The sequence below is a fragment of the Homo sapiens genome, chromosome 1 (assembly GCF_000001405.40).
Source record: "Homo sapiens chromosome 1, GRCh38.p14 Primary Assembly".
Classification (NCBI taxonomy): domain Eukaryota; kingdom Metazoa; phylum Chordata; class Mammalia; order Primates; family Hominidae; genus Homo; species Homo sapiens.
The window spans coordinates 90,709,256-90,728,829 of NC_000001.11; the positions used below are offsets into that span (position 1 = coordinate 90,709,256).

At 50.9% G+C, this 19,574-nt stretch overlaps 1 protein-coding gene across 2 annotated transcripts, besides 5 other annotated features; it reads right to left on the reverse strand.

Moving 5' to 3' along the window:
• Window positions 1,729-2,297: an enhancer, noted in NCBI's record as "OCT4-NANOG-H3K4me1 hESC enhancer chr1:91176541-91177109 (GRCh37/hg19 assembly coordinates)". NCBI's record gives its function as "activates a minimal SCP1, AML or CMV promoter by ChIP-STARR-seq in naive H9 embryonic stem cells {active_cell/tissue: H9 hESC(naive)}" and the evidence as "EXISTENCE:reporter gene assay evidence [ECO:0000049][PMID:30033119]".
• On the reverse strand, window positions 2,284-8,047 carry BARHL2 (BarH like homeobox 2). 2 transcript variants are annotated; one of them, NM_020063.2, is made up of 3 exons: window positions 7,316-8,047; window positions 5,276-5,501; window positions 2,284-3,369 (listed from the first exon to the last, which is right to left on the reverse strand). In NM_020063.2, exons 1-3 carry the CDS (start codon window positions 7,938-7,940, stop codon window positions 3,057-3,059), a joined length of 1,164 nt encoding a protein of 387 aa, NP_064447.1. In that variant the 5' UTR covers window positions 7,941-8,047; the 3' UTR covers window positions 2,284-3,056. The 2 variants fall into 2 exon arrangements, with proteins under 2 accessions (NP_064447.1, XP_047275572.1); XM_047419616.1 differs by lacking the exon at window positions 2,284-3,369 and adding an exon at window positions 3,427-5,046.
• Window positions 15,559-16,114: an enhancer, noted in NCBI's record as "H3K4me1 hESC enhancer chr1:91190371-91190926 (GRCh37/hg19 assembly coordinates)". NCBI's record gives its function as "activates a minimal SCP1, AML or CMV promoter by ChIP-STARR-seq in primed H9 embryonic stem cells {active_cell/tissue: H9 hESC(primed)}" and the evidence as "EXISTENCE:reporter gene assay evidence [ECO:0000049][PMID:30033119]".
• Window positions 16,115-16,670: an enhancer, noted in NCBI's record as "NANOG-H3K4me1 hESC enhancer chr1:91190927-91191482 (GRCh37/hg19 assembly coordinates)". NCBI's record gives its function as "activates a minimal SCP1, AML or CMV promoter by ChIP-STARR-seq in primed H9 embryonic stem cells {active_cell/tissue: H9 hESC(primed)}" and the evidence as "EXISTENCE:reporter gene assay evidence [ECO:0000049][PMID:30033119]".
• Window positions 17,227-17,782: an enhancer, noted in NCBI's record as "H3K27ac-H3K4me1 hESC enhancer chr1:91192039-91192594 (GRCh37/hg19 assembly coordinates)". NCBI's record gives its function as "activates a minimal SCP1, AML or CMV promoter by ChIP-STARR-seq in primed H9 embryonic stem cells {active_cell/tissue: H9 hESC(primed)}" and the evidence as "EXISTENCE:reporter gene assay evidence [ECO:0000049][PMID:30033119]".
• Window positions 18,456-19,277: an enhancer, noted in NCBI's record as "OCT4-NANOG-H3K4me1 hESC enhancer chr1:91193268-91194089 (GRCh37/hg19 assembly coordinates)". NCBI's record gives its function as "activates a minimal SCP1, AML or CMV promoter by ChIP-STARR-seq in naive H9 embryonic stem cells {active_cell/tissue: H9 hESC(naive)}" and the evidence as "EXISTENCE:reporter gene assay evidence [ECO:0000049][PMID:30033119]".

Genomic DNA, 19,574 nt, shown 5'->3' on the forward strand with positions numbered 1-19,574 from the left:
AAAGAAAGAGAGAAAGGAAAATAAAAGAAAAAAAGAAAGGAAGGAGAGAAGGGAGGGAGGGAGGGAGGGAGGGAGGAAGGAAGGAAGGAAGGAAGGAAGGAAGGAAGGAAGGAAGGAAGGAAGGAACCAGGCACCCACCCAACTTTCTTCCTGGGACAATATCCCCCACCCCACAACATCCAATCTGCCAACTTGTATGCAACAGCAGGTAACCAAACAAATTTAGAAAGGACATTGACACATTCAGCTGCATGATTTAGGGGGTGAAAGAAAACATGACTTTGAAGAAACTTGGATTTGGGGAGGACCCTAATGGATCCTGAGTAATTGCTAGCAGCAGAGCAATATGAGGTTGATTAAGAGATCTTGGTCTCTGTAGGCACAGTGCTTCCCCCTGCATTGTCCACCTCAGGAGTCCAAGTTCAGCCTTGAGTGTAAAGCGGCAGTGGGCAGACTTCCCGGCCCACCATCCTGCAGGTGGCTGGGGACTGCTGGCAGCAAATGGGTGCTCTGGCCTTATTTGGATTTGTAGTTTTGTGTGTTTTTCATACCTGGATCTGAGTTAATTCTTTGTAAAGATTCTTTGTATGCATAAACTCTGTGGCCTCTCAAATCCCTCCTTGTGCCTAGAGTTGACCAGCCCCAGTTTCAGTGCAAACAGAAGCTATAGCACCCTCAAACCTTGGAGAGTGCCTTTTTAGGCCTAGGCAGACCACTTTTAAACTGTTTAAACTTGATCAAAAAACCCAACTGCAAGATGAAACAAGGAGGGTCTGCTAAGTGCCTAGGTATTGGACATCCTAACTGGACATAGCGGCGCCCAATTTCCAGCCAAGCCCAGCTAGCTGAGTTTGTCTCAGCTAAGCAGGCAGAAAATGAGAAGGGCCAGTCCAGACCCTTTTGTTAGAATCAAACAAGACCAAGACCAAGTTTAAAGCAAACTGATGAGCTGGAGAGAAATCTGCAAACCACTTCCTAATTAGCCAAGGTCTGATCAAGGTGCCCCCAGGCAATTTCCACCTGGATTTCACTTTTCTTCCCTCCTTCTTTCCCACCCCTCCTAAATATACATTCCCACATCACTTCACATTTTTAAAAACATTTTTAACTACACTAAGGTTCAACCATCAGAGAAAGTTGGAGGCCAGGTCCAGATGTATTTTAGCTGCTTGTATTACCCCTTTGTCACTGTACTAGGGCAGGAGTGAGGATAGAAATGTGAGGATGCCCAGATAGGAGGTCTGACTCTGGCTACTCAGGAAGTGACCCGGGGGCTGGAGAGGAGTAGGAGCAACCTGGGAACTGTATGCTCCACTAAGTGGCTCCTTCATACAGTCCTGAGCACTGAGCCTGGTGGGGAGCCAGCCTGGCGGGGGGTGAGGGGTGGTGCTTATGACTGACTTAGGCCAGGGTGCTACAAACATTTACTTACATACACACACTCACACACACTCCTAAAGCAGGCAGCGGGCCTCCTCCACACTCTGGGCAGGGTCTCCTATTTTGCAGTCCCAGCTGTCCCAGGGGTGCAGATAAAAGGCTTGGCAGCCAGTCTCAGCCTGAGTTCACCGTTGCAAAGGAACTCCAGGCATCGCAGCACAACGAACTCACTAGGACAAGCGGCTCCGCATGGGGCTGGGGGCTGGACGCCCGCCGCCAGGGACTGAGAAGGCAACGATCAAAGCCGCCACAAGGGTTTGTTAGCTGGCCCTCTCCAAGTCCCCCGGGGGCGTCCTAATTGCTCGTCCCACAGCCTCCCGCTCACAGGCTGTCCGACCTCGCCGGCGCTCAGCCGCGGGCAGCAGAACAGCTGCGAGGCTCGAGGAGCGTCCGCCTGCCGCCCAGCCCCTGCCGGCGTTGTCATCGCTGCCCAGCGCTTCGGACCCTCGCTGCCCCAGGAAGACCCCTAGAAGAAGGAGGAGGGGAGGACAGAGGGATCACCACACCGGTGAAGCTGGGGCCTCTATGCAGGTCAGGACGGCAGCAAAGTTGGCCGCCGACTTAGCCAGCACCCGCAGCCTGCAAGTACAGATTTTCTCCCACAGCCTCCTGGGTTGCTTTGAAACCATCCATTTAAAAAGAAAGGAACTCATACATATCAAATAATGGTTCGGAAGAGGCCAGCACGAAAAATGGAGCTGCTTTTATACAAGCCAACCCAACCTCTTTACGGATTTTGTAAATTCCTAATATTTCAGAAGAAATTTGTTGTTCTAAACCAAGTCAGCACTTCATCATAGTACATTCTGCTTTAGTAAAATCAGCTCCCTTGGATTTCATCACTTGTTAAAAAAAGATAAACTTTATTTTTGTAATTTTCAATCACAAAAAAATCTATATTTTTGTCTAAGCATTTATTTTACTGAATCGAAAAGACATGAAAAGAAAAATCATGTTTTTACTAACGTATATAAGTGACTCTTTTTGGACAACATATAATAAATATGATATATCACTTATCACTCAGTCTTTCAAATGTACATTTTTTTCATATTATGGAGCATGCCACTTTTCCAAAAGAAAAAAGGTCATGAGAAATCAGTGCAAAGTTCTCAGTTACCCTCCTCTTTTCTCTGGGGCAGACGGAATGTCCTCGGCAACGCCCTTTGCCTCAGCACTTGAGGCTGTCCATATATAGTTCACTCTGCCTGTGCTGTTTCCGCTCCGTGCCCTTCTTTCTTCCCTCCTTAGCCCTCCCCCCTCCCTCCCTCCTGCTTGTCCCTAAAGTCATTTTTGAAAAAGAATTTGAGGTTTTGTTTTTGTTGATGTTTTCACTTACTGGTTGCACTCTGTGTGGGGTCAGCATTTTCACCAGTCACACTGCTGTGGGGGAGATTTCCAGCCCTGTTTCTAGGGGTGGGGAGATGGAGAGCAGAGGGCTGGCTCCTCTTTGGGGGTCCCCTGCCCACTGGTAAGCATCTTCCTCTCTTACTCCTCTGCCTTCCAGAGTTGGCTGCAAGGGAGGCCTAGTGGCCTGGAGCAGGGAGAGGACGGGCAGCAGTCCGGGTTGGGCAGGGATATGGGGAAGGGATTGCAGTGCCTTCGCTGCAATGTTTTCACCGGGGGTGTGGGGTGCCTGGGATGGGGCTGGACAATGGATTAAGGGCTGGCTGTCCCCCAGGCCCTAGGCCGTGGATGAGCACACGGGGCACCAGGGGCCGCTGCAGCTGGGGATGGGGTGCTGGAGGAGTCCGGTACATGCTGCTGTACATGGCAGCGGCAGCCGCCGCCGCCGTAGTGCTGTCCATGCTGCCCAGCAGGCTTGGGTGATAGAAATAAGGCGATGGAAACATCCTCTGCAGCGCCGAGTAGTTCCCTGCCTCGGCCAGCAACTCCAGGCCCACCGCTGTCTGCCGCTTCCACTTGGTCCTGAAAGAAAGCGGGTGTGCAGGCACCCAGCAGCTGTGGGCATGGTCCAGGCACCAAGACCCGGCCCCTTCTCTGGCCCCTTCCTGCCTCCTCCTTCATTCTCCCTGGGTGGCAGGAAGACTCAGAGACCTCTTCAAACTGGCAATGCACCACATCTCCTGCCCCAGCCTTGCTCCCAGAAAGACCCAAACCCAAAGCCAGTTTTGTAAATTACACCTTCAGTGGCTGAGACCCTCACAAATGAAATCCTACAGGCCTTGCTTCCTTTTCCTAAACCTCTGCTCTGCTGTCGCCCCCCTTGTAGTTTGGCTACTTCTGGAAACTTTCCTTAGGGCCAAAGGAGACTTCCACAAGCAGTCACTTTCCTCCTTCCTTAGTTCCCCTTCCACATCTCCCAACTCCCAACAATCCCAAAGAGTCTGCTCTCAGCCCCTCTTCCTTCCCCGCCAGGCTGTGAGAGAAGAAACCGTAAACAAAGGGATGCAGAGACTCCTAAGCCAGGGACCCCAGCCCCTCTCAGTCCCCAGGGCTGGGAGACATATTTCTCTCATAAGCCTGACAGGACCTTACAGTGGGCAGGGGGCTTAAGGGGAGGATGGCAACAAGGTCTCAAAATGGAATTCATTTGAGGGAGGGTTCTCCCAAGGGCAAAGTACCTCCTGGCCATTCTGAGGTGGGGGTGAATGCATTTCAAGGTATTTCCTCCTCAGAGATAAAGTAACAATTAAAACCTGTGATCAGCTTTTCTCAGTCTCCTCCCTCCCCCGCTGCACACCCTGCTAGGAAGAAGAGAGCGGGCGTTTGCTCAAATACCTTATGAAGGAACGCAGGGCTGGTGGGCCATCCATACCCGGCAGCTCCAGCCAAATTAATAAACATGTCGCCCATTTTAAATTGGCTACAAATGACACTAATGTTTTCCGACAGAATTAGGGTGGCTGAAACCGTATGTAATGAGACAGAAAATTATGGTAAAGATGACAAGTGGATGGGCATTTCCAACCGCACTTATGGACGATTAGAACACAAACGGGAGAAAAGGAGGGGTAGAGAAAATCGAGACAAGGAGATGAGTGCCAGGCTTGAAAACACAGCAAAACCTCTGCCTCAGATTGCCCAGGTTCCACTCTACACTTCGTGGCCCTGCGAGCACTGGCAGTCACTTTTGCTTTCTTAATTTCCCTTCTAGAGAAGGAGCAGTGCCAGGCAGGCTCTGCAGCACTCTAGCTCCATGTTGAGACAGCAGAGGCAGCCAGTACAGGGGACAGACCCACACTCCTTCCTTCTCCCTGTCCGGATGCTTGGCCAGCCGCCGATTCTCCAGGCTGCGGCTGCCAAACCTACTCTAACCCAGCTGGGCTCTCCTAGTCTCTGCAGCTACACTGACCAAGGCTTGGATCCTGCTTCTCCCAGCCGCCTCACAGGCCAAAGCAAGGACATTTACGCCGAGGCTGGTGGGACAGCTCTGTGGGAATAGCAATAGCTGGGCCGGGCCGTGTTGTTGGCTACAAACCTTTGGAACCAGCCTGGGGTGGGCCCAAGGGGTGCACCGCGCAGGCTCTCTGGACCTAAGTGTCAGCTGCACAGATGTCTCAATTTGAGAAGGTGTGGCTTCATTGATTTGGGGATGAAGTGGGGGGAATTCCAGCGGCTCGGGTTTCAGAGGAAAAGTAGCACCTGTTAAAGCACATAGAATTGCAAAATTGTCCAAATTCCAGCTGCCCTTTGGTCTCTCTCACCTTGGGGGTGTGGCTCATCCCTGCCCCATCCTTAAAGCACCCAAGTGCCCACTCCAGGGTCACTCTCAGTCCTTAGAGTCTCTGGAGGCCAGGAGGGAAGAAGATTGGTATAATGATCATGACTTAAATGGCCAGACACCTTTGCTCCCCCAAAGTGCCTCCCTTACCTGCGGTTCTGGTACCAGGTCTTGACTTGGGTGTCAGTGAGGTTGAGCGCTGCAGCCAGGTCCATGCGATCCTGCACGCTCAGGTACTTCTGCCGCTCAAAGCTACGCTCCAGTTGATTGAGCTGGTGGTCGGAAAAAGCTGTCCTTGCTTTTCGAGGCTTCTTGGCTCTCACAGGGGGACTCTCACGGCTACTCGTAATCTCCCGGTCTCCTTCCTCCTTTGTCCCTACCATAGAAACCCAGCCACGGTGGTAAGTTAGCCTGGAATGGGGAAGGACTGAGTGTCCTCCTGGCATACACTTCCACATTCCCAAGCCAACTACTGGCTTCGGGGGACTGCACTCTGCCACCCCTAGAACACACACACACTCACGCCTTAGCCTGAGTGTGGAGGAAGAGGATTGTTTTCAGACTGGAGAGTATGGGACCTTGTTTAGAGTTTCTAAAGGGGGTCTAAAAGGGTGTCTGATCTTCACATGGTTGGAAGTTAAAAAGTAAAAATTTTTTTAAATAAAACTTTTGAAAAGGGTTATTTTGTTATTGTTTCCTTGACTGAGAGAGATGCTGTCCCTTTTCTTTATTGTTTTCAGTATGACTTTGTTTCACTGATGTGGTGATTTTTCAAAGGGTCCCTCTACTCTTTTTTTTTTTTTTTTTTTTTTGAGGAGGCAGCATCTTTTTCATTTTACTTTTTTCTCTTTTCTGAAAGTTATAGGTGTTTGTTTTACTTTTTCAGATGCACTTGGGAAATGTTGGAATCAAGCTTTCTGAAGCCACCTGCATCAGGTCTTTTAAAGCTTCACAAAGAATATGTCACCCAGACACCGAGTTGAGCTCAAAATCACTGAGCCCATCCAGGTGACAGCATGGAGATTTCCGGATTCTATTTGTCAACTTTGGTTTTTTACTGAAATGCTGGGAAATCGATATGTCAATCCCTCCCTGTTTGTACCCGTTTGTGCAGTGCTCCTTGATCTTCCCTGCAGGAAGAACAATAATCTCTCTAATTGACCCACTGGGGAGGTTGGTGCACAAAAAATCGCCAGACCAGACTGTACATCTGTTTTGGACACTATTATGCTAATGCTATAATAGTAAAATGAGGAGCCAACATCCTACCTTCCAGTCAGTACATTTCTTTACCAGAAAAACAAGGATCAATAATAATAAACAATGTGTCTGTAAAGGAAGAAAAAGCTCTCCTGGTATGTTAAAACTTTTGCCATGCAAAGACTACCACATTTACTTATGAAATTGTCTGATGAGAAAATGGAAAAAGGGAGTTGAAGGACAATTTCCATTGTCATCTTATTTTTTTTTTAACAAAAAAGAGATTAATCCAATTTCATAAGATTTTATTTTTATAAATACTACCTCCTAAGTACTTGTAAGGGGCCAAAAATCTTTGTAGGATACAGATACTCAGTTGAGGCCATAGGGTAAGAAGGGTGCTTTTAAGAAACTTATTACAAATTTTTACGGGCTAACCACAATCTAATTTTTTTAAAGTTGCTCTGTTCATGAACTCAGAAATTTTTCCTCCATTAAAACCGATAATTCCTGTGATGATGTTAAGAAAATAAAGTGGGGGGGGGGTGAAATCACTTGTACTAAAGAATAAACACCAGGTTGTGATCACACCCACGCTAGCTAAGTGGTTTCTCTCTCCTACCTCCCCCCATTCCCATTCCCAAAGTCTAGGCTAGAAAAACCCCAAGTCCATCCCTTTTATCAACGAAAAGTATTTCCTGTCGGATGCCCTCCGCCGCCCCTCAACCCCCAGTAGATTAAAATTAAATAAAACAAAGGAAGGAGCTGGATGGCCGTGAAGGTTGTGGGGTAGAACAATAAACAGAACTTCGAGGAGTCCCCACATCGCACGCCCAGGCCTCCCTTCAGCTGCAGTCTTTTGACCGTCGCCCAGTCGCCCGAGAAGCTCCTGGAATCGCTCCCCAGCAGAGATCTGCTGAAGGCTGAAGGGGAGATTGGGAACCAGGAGGACAAGCTAGACGGCCGAGAGCGCCGGGTGGCGGGACTCACCGTGGCATTTGATGTCGCTCTGGGAATCCTCCCGCTTGTCGAGTTTGGTCTTGCTGTCCTCCTGCTCGAGCTTTGGCCTGAAGCTCTCGTGCACTGCGTTGCTCTCCTGCTTCGGGGTGTGGTGGGGAGAGGATACGCTGGTGCTGTAGGGTGCACATGCCGCCAGAGGTTTGCTGTCGCCCAAGATGTCCTTAATTAAAAAAGAAGACGTGGAAGTCCTGGGGGCCGAGGCGGCCGAGCCCAGCTGCTGGGGGGGCGGCGGCGGCGGCTGCTGTGGCGGCAGCGGCTGCTGCTGTTGGGGCAAAGGCTGCAAACTTTGCGTCGGGGCCGCGGCCGGCGGCGGCGGCTGCTGGCTGTGGTGGAGGTGGTGATGATGCTGGGTCGCGTCTGCTACCAGATGCGGCTCCGGGGGCTCCATGGTGACTGAGATAGGAGAAGAAGGCGCCGTCCCTACGGTATCAATCTCCGAACAGGGAGATGGGGTGGCCTGACTCCTAAAATCCGCGGTCCTGGCCTCACCGAGCGGGCGGAAATCTCCATTCATCATGCCTGGGCTGCCTGAACTGGCACTGGACAAAATCGTGTCTATTCCAAAACTCGACCCGCTGGCCCCTTCCATTGTCATTGCTACATGAGGTCCACGCCACTCCGCCGTTCAGCAGCCGCCCCGAACCAGCGAAGAAAGCTATCGATCGTAAAACAAAATAAACACCAAACAATGTTGCCGCCGCTTAAAAAAAAAAAAGTGGGGCGGGGAGAGAAGGAAGGGTAATTGGGAAGTGGCAATCTGTGGATACTTTCGACACAACTTTTTTTCTTTTATGCAAAAAGTAGGGGTGGAAAGAAAAAAGATGCGGGGGGCGGGGGGAGTTAAAAAAATTTCTGAGAAAACTCGGAACTTGCGCTCCAGGAACGACTGCGCACGTGGCGCGGCGGTGGCGGCGCGGAGGACCCAGGCGAAGGCGAAGGCGAAGGCGAAGGCGCAGGCGAAGGCGAAGGCGCAGGCGGCGGGAAGCTACGCCAAAGCCGCCGCCGCCGCCGCTGCCGGGGTCTGCCCACAGCCTGGCACCGGGCGGCAGCGGTGGCGGCGGCGGACGCGGCAGGTGCAGCGACCGCGAAGCCCGGGCGGCCGCGCGCCCTCGGAACTCCCCCGCGGCTCCCGAGGTGGCAGCCGCGCGCCACTCGGCAGCCCCGTAGCCGAGTTTCTGAACTTTCTTGGAAAGTTGCGGGGCAGACACGGCCGCAGCGGTTGCGGCAACCCGAGGAGGAGGAGGAAGAGGAGGACGACGAGAAGGAGCAGGCACAGAAGGAGGAAGCGGCGGAGACGCGATGCCGGGCGACTCCGGCCGCTGCCGGGCGCGTTCGCTTGTAATCCGGCTGCTGGCGGGCGGCGCCGACCCCCTCCCGTGACGTCACGGCCACTACCGCCGCTCCCCGCGCCGCGCCGCGCCGGGCCCGCGCCCCCGCCACCGAGGCCGCGCGTCCGGCCCCGCGCCCCTATTGGCCGCGCCCGCGCGAGCGAGGGACGCCGACGTGCCAGGGAGCCAATAGGCGCAGCGCTCGTGAGCCCGTCAGCGGACTCGGCTCGGACTCCGCTGCTCTTTTGAGAACCCGCACATCCCTGAGCCCGCAGCCCTGAGCCGAACTCCGAGTCCAGTGGTCCCGGTGTCCACAATCACGAGTGCGAGGCAAAGGGAGAGGGAGGAAGAGATCAGAGGGAGACCAGAGAAAGGGAACCAAAGGGGAGAAAGAAAAAAAAAAGTAGCAAGGATTCGCCCGTTTTCTTAAGTCAGAAGAGAGAGAGAAGAGGACGGGAAGGGACTTACCTTTAGGCTCCAGCGCGGCGGCCCTCGCAGCCTCCCCAAACGCGCGCGGGAATAGTCCGAAGACATTAAGAGCGGAGGAAGGAGATCCCTGAAGGAATCCACAGAAAAGTGTGTCACTTCAGGCGCCGGAGCCTTGCATAAGCGGGCGGGTCGGCTCTGGGCTCTGATTTCTCGCCCGACGAACCCAGGCGCTCGGGCTCAGCCCGGCGGGAGGCGGATCCCTGAGAGGGACACAGCCGGGTCCGCGTCCACCAGGCGCTCTCGGGGAGGACGAGGCCTGAGGCTCCAAGCTGGGGAACCAGCCTGGTCTCCAGCTGGAAAAAATGCCTGGCCAGACGCTTTCTCCCGAACGGGGGAGCTAATGCCCGAGGCGTTCTCTGGTGGCGAGGGCAGCCACGGTTCACTGCGGTGTCGGGCGGGCGCGGGGCTCAGGACCCATAGCGGCTGGTCTGCAGCCCGCGCCCCTGCCGCGCCCCGCGGCAGTCCGTCCACCTCTGTCCCCCGGCCCCTTTCGGCGAGCGCTCATTTGGAAAGGAAACAGTCACTGCGGATCCACTTGGGACCCGGAGCATGACTGTAACGCCTCGTTGGAGTGTATCAACTTGCATTATTTTCTCTAGGACGTCTCCAACCTGTCTCATGTTGAATGTCAGAGTAATGGGAAGTGCCAGTGACAAGACGGCGTATTACTCCTGATTAAGTGCCGTGTCAACCTAATTAGCAGAGTAATTATAAGGTGCTAATGAATGATTCAAAGTTCTTTGAGTTACATTTTACTCCAAATTACCATTTTAAGAACCCTATGAATCTGCGAGGCGGGCATCGCTTCCGTGGCTAGGTCTGGAATGATGTTCGAGTGGCCTTTAATGTCTCCAAAGGCTGGGCCGAAATCTGGAGTTTAGTTGCAGTTCTGGAGGTCACTTTCTGGGCCACAGCTTTTATCTGTTGAGGACGAAGGGAGGGGTGTCAGGGAGGCAAATGACCTCCTGGGACAAGCTCTTGCCTTTCGGTCGGAACTGCTTCTGTGTGAGCCCTGGGTCCGGAAGCGGGTAGCTGGGCGACTCATCCTGCCTGCGTTTTCCTAGGGAAATCGGTGTGTTTGACCCAGAAAAAAAAAAAAAAAAAAAAAAAAAAACAGCACTACTTGGAGGGTGGGTTGAGCTGTTTCTCATCGTCTCAGTGGCATTTTTCCTAGGGCTGTTCCGAGAGAACAGCGGGGATTGAAGGGACGGAGGCAAGGAGATGCACAATCCGGGCAGCTCTCGCTCTTCTCGGAAGGCGAAGGGAGTTTGGCGGAGAAGACGGGGTTGGTGAGCCGAGGCGGGGACTCCGGACGTGCTCCATCCCGGCAGGGGCCGACAGTGGCCAGAGGGGTGCGGGGAGGCCCTCGGGAACGGGTGACTGGGCCCCGCCGGGTGGGGTCGGGCCACTGTAGGCTGGAGCGGGGTTGGATCAAATGCCTTTGGCGCGGGAACTGAGTGCTGGCCCGGGAGACCCTCCGGAGAGCTCGCGGGCTCGGCCTCGGCCTCGGCCTCGGCCTTCGGCCGCGGTTACCGAAACACAGACGGTAGACTTGTGGAGGTGGCTTATCCGAGGCCGCAGGGCCCGACGCTGCACAGCTTCGCAGCCTAAATATCCTGCGCCTCTGTCACAGTTGACCGCTGTGGGGAGGACAGGAAGGGCTCTAGGGCTGCCCGAGACTGCAGGCTGACCCTACCTACTCTACCCTCTTCAAATATCGATTAGGGTTCTTCCCATTCCAACATCATCATCCACCAACTTCCCGAATATGGTGCGTTTTCTCCTAGCCCTGGGAGGTTCCAACTCGAACTCCCCTCGCTGCATATTCAGGGTGGGAAGTAGGGAGGGGGAGAAAACAAATTTAAAATCCAGAACTGACGGCACTGCACAAATCAATTATTCTCGACCTTGATAAATAATTCATTTAAGCCTGTTTTTGTTTTGTTCCGACGCCTAAAATGACTCAAGAGCTCAAAAGGCTGATCGCACAGCTTGTGTTGGGCGGTTCGACAGGGTCTTTTTGCTTGGAATAATTCACAGCATTGGCAGGGGAGACGATGGAGATATGACCCTACAAAAAAAATGAAATCTATAAAGAAAAGGAGAGAGAAACGTGGAAGTGTTGGGGGCAGGGGAGAGCGTGTTTTGTGACAACTCTAAAGCAAAGCAAAAGGGAACCCAGTAGGCCCCACTTTGTGAATGTCTCAGATCATATTTTCTTAAGAAAAGGTTAATATCATAGAAGAGTTCTCTGGGTGGGTGTTAGATCAGCTTCCAGGAGCAATAACGGTAAGGGGAAAACACGACCTTGACTTTTATCAAGGCTGCTATGTTAGTAGTGGCCTGAAGATTCACAAAATGGACTTGAAGACCAAATTGCAAACTTAATGAAAAATTTTTTTTCAGAGCTGGAGTTTTGTTTAACTTTTCTCAGTTCTTTTTTCTCCAGACACATTCCTCTCTCGCATTTTTTTTCTGAAAGTATATAATGTATACATCCAAGAAGTCATGCATTTTCTGGCAAACATAATTCACTTTTCATTTTTAAAAATCACAATTCAGAAACACAATAGGGTGCAGATATATCATATTTCTAAACGAAAGAAAATGCTTTAACTGGATTTAATCTTAGATTTTCCCACTGGATTTAAAATACAAATAAATAGAGTCTCTAAACTGACATGAGTTTAAATATTAAACTCATTCACTTTCAGGCCCTCATTTCCTTAGAAGAAGGAGAAGGGGAAGAGAAAAAAAGAAACTTGTGTAATTTTTGGAAGATTTTGGAATTTTGGCCTAGAAAGCAGTTATTGCCAACTGTGGGTAACAGAGAACAAACTTTTCCTTCCCGGCTCTGAAGAACACATCACTGCCGATCAGCATCAAAGATGCTCCTTTCCCATCTCAGAGAATGATTCAAACACTTCAATATTTAACAAATTTTGTTCCTAGATAAACTCTCTACGATCCACTTTCACCATCTAGATTTAGTATTTGAGATTGTGTTTAAACTAGAGCATTCAGTTTTTTAAAAATGAAACTTAACTTTGAAGAAATCCACTCACACATTACGATGAACGTGGAGCTGGTGTTTCTTCCTATCATATTTAATTTTGAACGTTTCTAAGGGTCCACATGATGACAATGCCAAGTAAGGGGAATGAGGTGCAAAGACGCTTCCCTCCACTGGGCGGCGCCAAGAGCTCCGAACGGAGGGAGCTGCTATTGTTTCTTTCTATAAAAGATGCAAGATAAACAAATGAGCTCTCCACCTTCTAAGGCTGGCTCCCTGACGATTGTCTGACCTCTCGCCATTTCAAAGCTACAGAAACGTCGGAAGTTTCCTTTCTTTTTTGTTTTTTCAATTTATCAATATCTTTTCAACTATTTAAGAATTTGATACATATTTGCTTAGAAAAAATAATACATTAAAGAGAAATATCCTGGCAGTTCTGACCAAAAAGAAAACAGAGAGAGAAAGATATGAAAAGAACATAACTGAGTCCCTTAAATAGACTGAAACTGGGAGAGTGGAGTTGGGAGCAGATGGAGAAAGATAAAATGAAAGAAAAAAATAAGGTAACTGAAAAGTATGTTAACAGGAAGAAGTTAAAATGATAACCTGTGTAATTACTAATTGTTCTAGGGGAATGAAAGTTTTGAGAGATAGTTCTGATATCATAATACAATTTGCAAGAGCTATAAGCTTCACCAAATTTTAAAGATGAGCAGTTTGGAAGGAACCTAGTGAAGTTGACTCTCCTTGGGAGTTAGATGTGTGTTGTACAGAGGCAAACCACAGGAAGGTAAGCAGAAATGTAGAGGACAGAACGCTGGAGAAGAAAGTTTTCATCTCATTTTACCACTTTATGTGTTCGTGGGCAAGGCACTTAACCTTTTAATTACCAAATTCCTCCTCCACTAAAGAGGAGACTAGTTCTTGATTAGAACGGGGTGAGTGTAATGACCAAATAAGACATTCTATGTAAAAGCTCTTTACAAAATGTAAAGCAGCATTTGCTAAATACTATACACAAAAGTGGCAATGATCTCTAGCATAAGCAACACCCAGTAGCTATATTTGTTTTCACTTCTTCCTTCCCTCATTCATTTTGTTCATTCACTCAATCGATAAACATTATTGAATGTTCATTCTATGCCAGGTGCTTGAGACTGGGACACCAACTCACCTCAGGTTTGACAAGAACTTGTGCTGGAAAACTGTCATAAATACAATGATACAAATTAGAACCTGCTACAGTGGGAGTGAGAAAGAGAGTGGGGAGTCTTACACTGGGACAAGTTGGGGGAACAGTAAAGCTTTCTAAAGGAAATGAAGTGTGTTCAGTCATGACTGCATCTCAAGCAGTGGGATGTAGAGGGATTTCTATGGTAGCTGAGGGTAATAATGGTGCAAAAATGTCCATGAATTGTCCAAAATTTTAATCTCCTGACTGTAGGGCTGGGCTGCAATCTGTAGACATATGTTGGCTCTAGGGGGTCTCTTCTGGGTCCAGCCGGAAGAGACAAAATACTCTTTGACACTTTGGAGGGAAAAGGAACTAACTGCACATGTTTACAGGCCTGGGCAGCAGCATATACAGCCGGTTACACAGTCTTAGATTTGATCCCAAGAGGTGATCCAGTCCCCTCAAGGACTGTATCCTCTTTTCCCCACCTGCACTCTTGCTTCCTTTCTTCTTTCTAGATTTTCAAATCATGGACGGCTTGGTGACCTTAGCAGGCCCAGAAAGAGGGCTCCTCCAATTCAGGTGTGGAGATTGGGAAGGTGACAAGGTGAAGGCAATTGAAGGAAGAGCCGAGGGGGACATGGGGAAGGATTTTGTTTCACCCCTCCTAAGTTGAACCATTGTCCTTTGAAGGCCGGCTCCTGGAGAAATTAAAGGGCCCCTGTGTGACACAGCCATGTCATACATAAACAGAACTCTGAAGCCTATCAACTCCTGAGGCTAAGTAAGAGGGAATGTAGGGGCCAAGGCAGAAGAGAAACCAAAACCTCAGAGCGCTGAGCAAAGATGCCAATCAGAGAAAGAGAAATTCATTTGCGATGTTAATTAACAAGCGGCTAATTAAAACGGCACTTTGAGTGCTAATCAATCGCCTTATTAAGTTACAGCCATCACTGGAACAAATTGAAACCTCCCCGCCCCGTTTTCTGCCTTTGGTGCAGGCGGGGCCGCGTTCCCAGATACCGTGAGAGGCCTTGGGGCGCGGAGGTTGGGGGCAGCCTCGGTCAGCTTTCTCAGTCTCTCCCAGGTCTACAGAATACGCCACTGGACAAGTGCCTAAGCAGCGACTTCTGGTCCAGACACACCGCCCGGGGAGTAAGTAGTTGCGTCGAAGAACAACTCATTCAGCAGCAGTTAACACCGACGTTTCCTCCTAGAAAGAGCTCCCGCAAAGCGGGGGGATGTGACCTGTGGGCCCCCAGCAGGGGTAGGAGGCAGTTCAGCCCGAGAGGGGGCGCTCTAGGGCCTGGATCCTGCATCCCTATTTCCTGGAACACACCCAACGCCTCATTCTGAAAACCCTGCTTAGGCCCTGGCCCTGGTGCCGCTCAGCAACCAGGAAAGAGCTGGACCTGCCTTCAGGCAGCAAGAACAGGACTGCCAGCCTCCTGTGGCTCTGTCTCCCGAGGCTCCATGAGAAGGGGATGGGGGTGCAAGAAGGGAAGAGTGAGGTGGTGTGCTGGGCGTCGGGGACGAGGACGCACGCCAGCCAAGACGTGCCTCCCACCCAGCCCACGCGCGCTTCCCCACCCCCCTGGCCCTCCAAAATCGGTAAGAGAATTAAGATTTCGAATCCCTATTTTGAGGAGCCTTCCGCATTTCCTAATTGTTAAATTCCTGCTTTTCACCAAATTCCCGGGGGAGAAACATTTGGCAATAAGAAGGGACTGTGAATTTAAATGCTAATTGAGTGGGTCCTTTTTCCGCAGCTCCACCTGCCTGGCAGCCTCTGTTGAAACCAAACACACTCGGAGCGCCCAGTGCAACATTCTTGGGGTGCCGAGTAGAAGCGCAGTAAAGAGAGACCCTAGCGGACTCCTGTCTGGTTTGCTTTTTACCGACTCTTACAGAAAAAAAGAGAATGCCATTGGAAGAAGCTCTTTTGCGTGGTGGGCGATGTGTGGGTGGGGGACTTGTGGCATGGCCCACGGTGTTGTTTCTGTGCCTGCGATGACACACGTATGTCTTGAGCTGTGGGCTCGCCTTCCTGGAGGTGCGCCCGACCGCATCTGCTGGTGGGTCTGAGCGTGCTTGGGGTGTCCCAGGAGAACTGAGAGAACGGCTCCCACGTGCAAAGTTCCAAAGCATTAATATTTTCATCATATTATCATTATTCAATATAATAATATTTGTTCGGTTAGCGGCACTAATTAGGCCACATTAAAACCGTAGTGTGTCCCTAATGGTGCGTAATGTGCTCACACTCACATTTTTCTCTCTGAGGATGGGCGGCTGCAGGCTGGTAGGGGAGGAGAGACAGGCAAGCGGCGGGCTGGATTAGGGCGTGACGCCCCCCACCACGCACACAAACATACACAGCCCACTGGATGTCTGCCGGGTGGGAGCCGCAATCTCCGCGCGGTCGATGGGGCCCTCCGCTGCGCACTCGGCCCTGCGCCGAGCACCCTGCAGCCTCCTCCCGCGACACGGCGCTTTGAACTCGGCGGATTGATTTTGCTTCCCTTCCCCCTTTTGTGTGTGTTTGCGTTCAATTGGTTAGGTTTTTAAGATTTGGGAGGGCTGGTGTGAAAGAATTAAAATACTCTTAACTGGAGCCCCTCCGCCGAGAACTGGAGGTCCCGCCTCCTAGTTCGGCGCTTTCAGGACCCTCTTCCCAGAGGGAATTTCTTTCAGAAATTCCAGGGTGGGCTTGTAAAAGACGCTTCCGCAGAGCAGGTCCCGTCAGGGTCTTTTTCCTGTTCCTGGTGCCAGCGGTCGGCCCGGGCGCCCCGCAGACCTCGGCGAGGTAGATGTTAAGCTCGGAGAGTGCCCCTCCCGCAGGCGCCGTGGCGAGATCACTCTGAATATGTAACATATTTGTAACGTGCGCCGAGGTGTGATGTGTGTGCTGAAATAGGGGGATGGGGGAATTCGAAGCCGGATTGGGAAGGCGGGGGGGAGGCGCACAGAACTCACAATGTACTTCGCAATCTAACAATCTGAACATTCATTTATTAAAAGCTGCTGCGTGACATTTACACTGAGCCACCAGTCTCTGCCTCTAATCCGGGCGAAAACGATTGTACTGCCGAGTTATGGCTGCAGCGTATGGGGACGCTGCTGTCCGCGGCCGGACAGAGCCCATCAGCTACAACGCGGAAGGCCTCTGCACCCCCTTGGGGGCGGGAGGAAAGTACTGCCAGTCCTGCCTGGGGGCCGAGGGTAACAAGCACCGAGCCTCTCGCTCCACGCAGGGCCAGCTGCCCAGCTCAGCGAAGCTCTTGTGATCTGGTGCGTGTCTCTCGCTCTTCCCTCCCCATCAAAGAAGTAAACTTTCTACCTACTCCCCCTAATCCGATCGTTTAGAGCTGCTGTTTTCCTTTTGTCAGATTCCTCCTCCCCGATCAGTCTGAGTACACGATCAGAACTGCTCAGAGAGCAGGAAGCACATTGATTTCAGCTTGTTCTGTCCACAGACAGGCCCTGACAAGGTTGTTAGAACAGCCGGAGAGGTCTATACAATCACTTAATTACCAAAACTGTCAGTCAGGCGGGACGCGGATCCGCGTCCCGGGCTGCGCTAGGCATTCCAGCACTGGGCCGCGCGCGTGATTGATCGGTGCTGATAGCACCGCAAAATAATTACGGCGAATTTTCTGATGTGTGATTTTATCCCAAGTTCATGCTTCAGAGAGGTAATCGGAGAATGAGAAGGGTCAGTGCCATTTCGGATTACCTGGAATCTGCGAGAAAGGGTAAAATGGGGGAAGGAGCTCCGAGGAAAACGGGAGAGATGGGGGTGCAGAGAGAGAGGGAAGAAGAAAGCGAGTTATGGATTGCTGGAGGGACTGCAAGCAATTCGTCAAACTGTGCAAGTGATTTCCTTCAGAGCCAGCATATGGCAGATTGATTTTGTCCAACGTCGGTTTTAGCCACATTTAAAATGATCCAGCGGTTATTACTGCGATTGGCTTAGGAACTGACAGGCAGTTTTAGGCGCAAGGAGTATAGATCCTGTTTACCGGAGATGTGTTCGTAACTGCTGTCAAATACAGTTAAGTAAATATCATTAGCGAAGAGCTCTGTTAAGAGAAATGCCAATCCAATAAATATGCTTTTCCTCCCCGCCCTCCGCATGGCTGCCTGCGCTTCCTCCAGAGGTTCTCCTTCCTGCTCCTTTGCTGCTTGGGTCAGACGTCCCAGGCATGGTGCTGACTCCCGCCACCTTGGAGCCCCGAGCTGAGCCTCGGGCAGAAGATGACAGGCCAGCCGTGGGGCAAGGAGGCCGCGGAAACGCGGAACGGCTTCGGGGAGACGGAAGCGCCCAATGAGATTCACCCTGCAGCCCGGGTCCAGCCCACCTTCCTCGGAGATTGCCGCGGCCCTCGAACCCGGGCCTAGGTCTTCATGTCCCGGCGGCCAGAGGACGTTGCGGGGACCACTGGGGAGCTGCCCTCAGTCAGCTCTCTGCCCCACGCCGGAGGTCCTGGCGCGGCTTCTTTCCCGAACTAGACTGGCGACTCTGGGCCAGGCCCCAAGGACCGCCCCGGCCTCTCCGGCTTTGCGGGGAGAATCTGAGGAACCGAGTCCAAGATAGCCGACCTAGGCTGTTTTCACCCAGACCCTGCGTCCCCGACCCGCTGGAGTGAATCTGACACTGCCAGGTTCTCTCTCATGGCATGGAGTGAATGAAGAGGGCCATAGATCCCCTTACCCAGCACAGTCCCTCGGCAGGCCCTGGAAATCCACAGGGAGCAGAAGCACAGTATTTTCTGAACCGCTCCCTCTCCCTGGGCCTGTGGCCATTTGAAGGCAGAGCTCTGTGCCTCCAAGACAGTAGGTTTTCGGTCAAGTTTGGAGCCTGGGGCCCCAACACATTTACACAGGGTTGGCATCACCGTTTCCTTGGACTAAAGGCAGGCTCCTATATCCTTTTTAAAGGAACAGAAGGAAGGAAAAGGAAACCAACACGGGTTATGTTCAGATAGTAGGCCTATGGCAATTCTTCACAGCCATAGAGTCCTAATCCGAGTATCTTCCCAGAGAGGAAAAACCCAAAAAACTTTTAAAAGGGGGAAAGCTGGGTAGATCATAGCACCCATTCTTCATGCCTAGGCAGAAAAACTAACCCAGAGGGAGCAAAGGGGTAAGAAATATGAAGAGATCCCCTCTGGGAGCTGAGGAGCACCCTAGTTTATAATTTGGTCAAAGGAGAAAGTCACTGGCCTCCTCCTTTGATAGAGGCGTGTCATCTATCTTCCCAGGGAACATGATGGTTCACAAATGAAGAGGCTAGCCCTCCTGCAGCTTTTTTCTACAGAGTGTAAAACACACACCGCCTTCATCAGTGTTTGGGATGTAAAGAACCCTGTCTATTTAAAAGAGATACTGCATTTTTAAAGTCAAACAGTACCAATGTATGTGGCGAATCAAGTAGGTAAACAACTTACATATGGTTGCTGCACTTGAAGGAACCATCCATTCTCATGCACAGCAAATTGAAGAAACAATGGCACTAATGAGCCTTGCAAAATGCAACTGTGAATAATGAAAGACAACACTGCATTTTGCAACAGAAAGAATAAAGGTGAAATAATCAGCTAGCAAAGAGGAAAAGAAAGCGAGCAATGATTAAATGATCAAAAGCTGGCAGAGTGAATTCAATGTCACTGCCAGACGCAGCCATCTACCCACAAGTGAAAGTTAGGTTTCAAGCACAGTGTAATTATAGCTGGGGTTGTCAGTTTGACATTAATGCAGCCAGCAGAAATTTCCTAATTGGCCTCAGAGGAGAAAGTGAACCAGAAAATATATTAACATTTTAAAAAAGCATATTTTGCCTAATCCTTTCACTTTCGAACAATATTTGAAGACCAAAATGCCCCAGGCATAAGAATTTAAATGAGCAATTTTGTTTTTGAAGGAAACGGCCAATGAGACAGAAAATAGACTAAAGGGAAATCATTAGTGGATGAGAGATACTGACAGGCTTGCCTTGCTGACTGGCTGGCCTGTCACTTGCAGTCTGTGTTCTTTAGTTCCACGCTATGAGCTAAGTTGATAACATGAAAAGACCCATAAACGTGCAGCCAGAAGTCACAGCCTATTATCTGGAAATTCAAATGCAAGGGGAGGGGGTGGCAGAGAAGGCATCGGCGAGGTTGGGAGGGAGAGGTGTGCATCGAGGGAGGAGGAGGAGGAGGAAGGGGAGGAGGGAAAGGA

Bases quoted from the DNA above. Each gene is read 5' to 3' on its own strand.
- BARHL2 (NM_020063.2), bottom strand. From the start codon at position 7,940: ATGACAATGGAAGGGGCCAGCGGGTCGAGTTTTGGAATAGACACGATT. The intron at 5,502-7,315 runs GTGAGTCCCGCC...TTTCTATGGTAG, and splicing joins GAGCGACATCAAATGCCACG to GGACAAAGGAGGAAGGAGAC. The intron at 3,370-5,275 runs GTAAGGGAGGCA...GCTTTCTTTCAG, and splicing joins ACCTGGTACCAGAACCGCAG to GACCAAGTGGAAGCGGCAGA.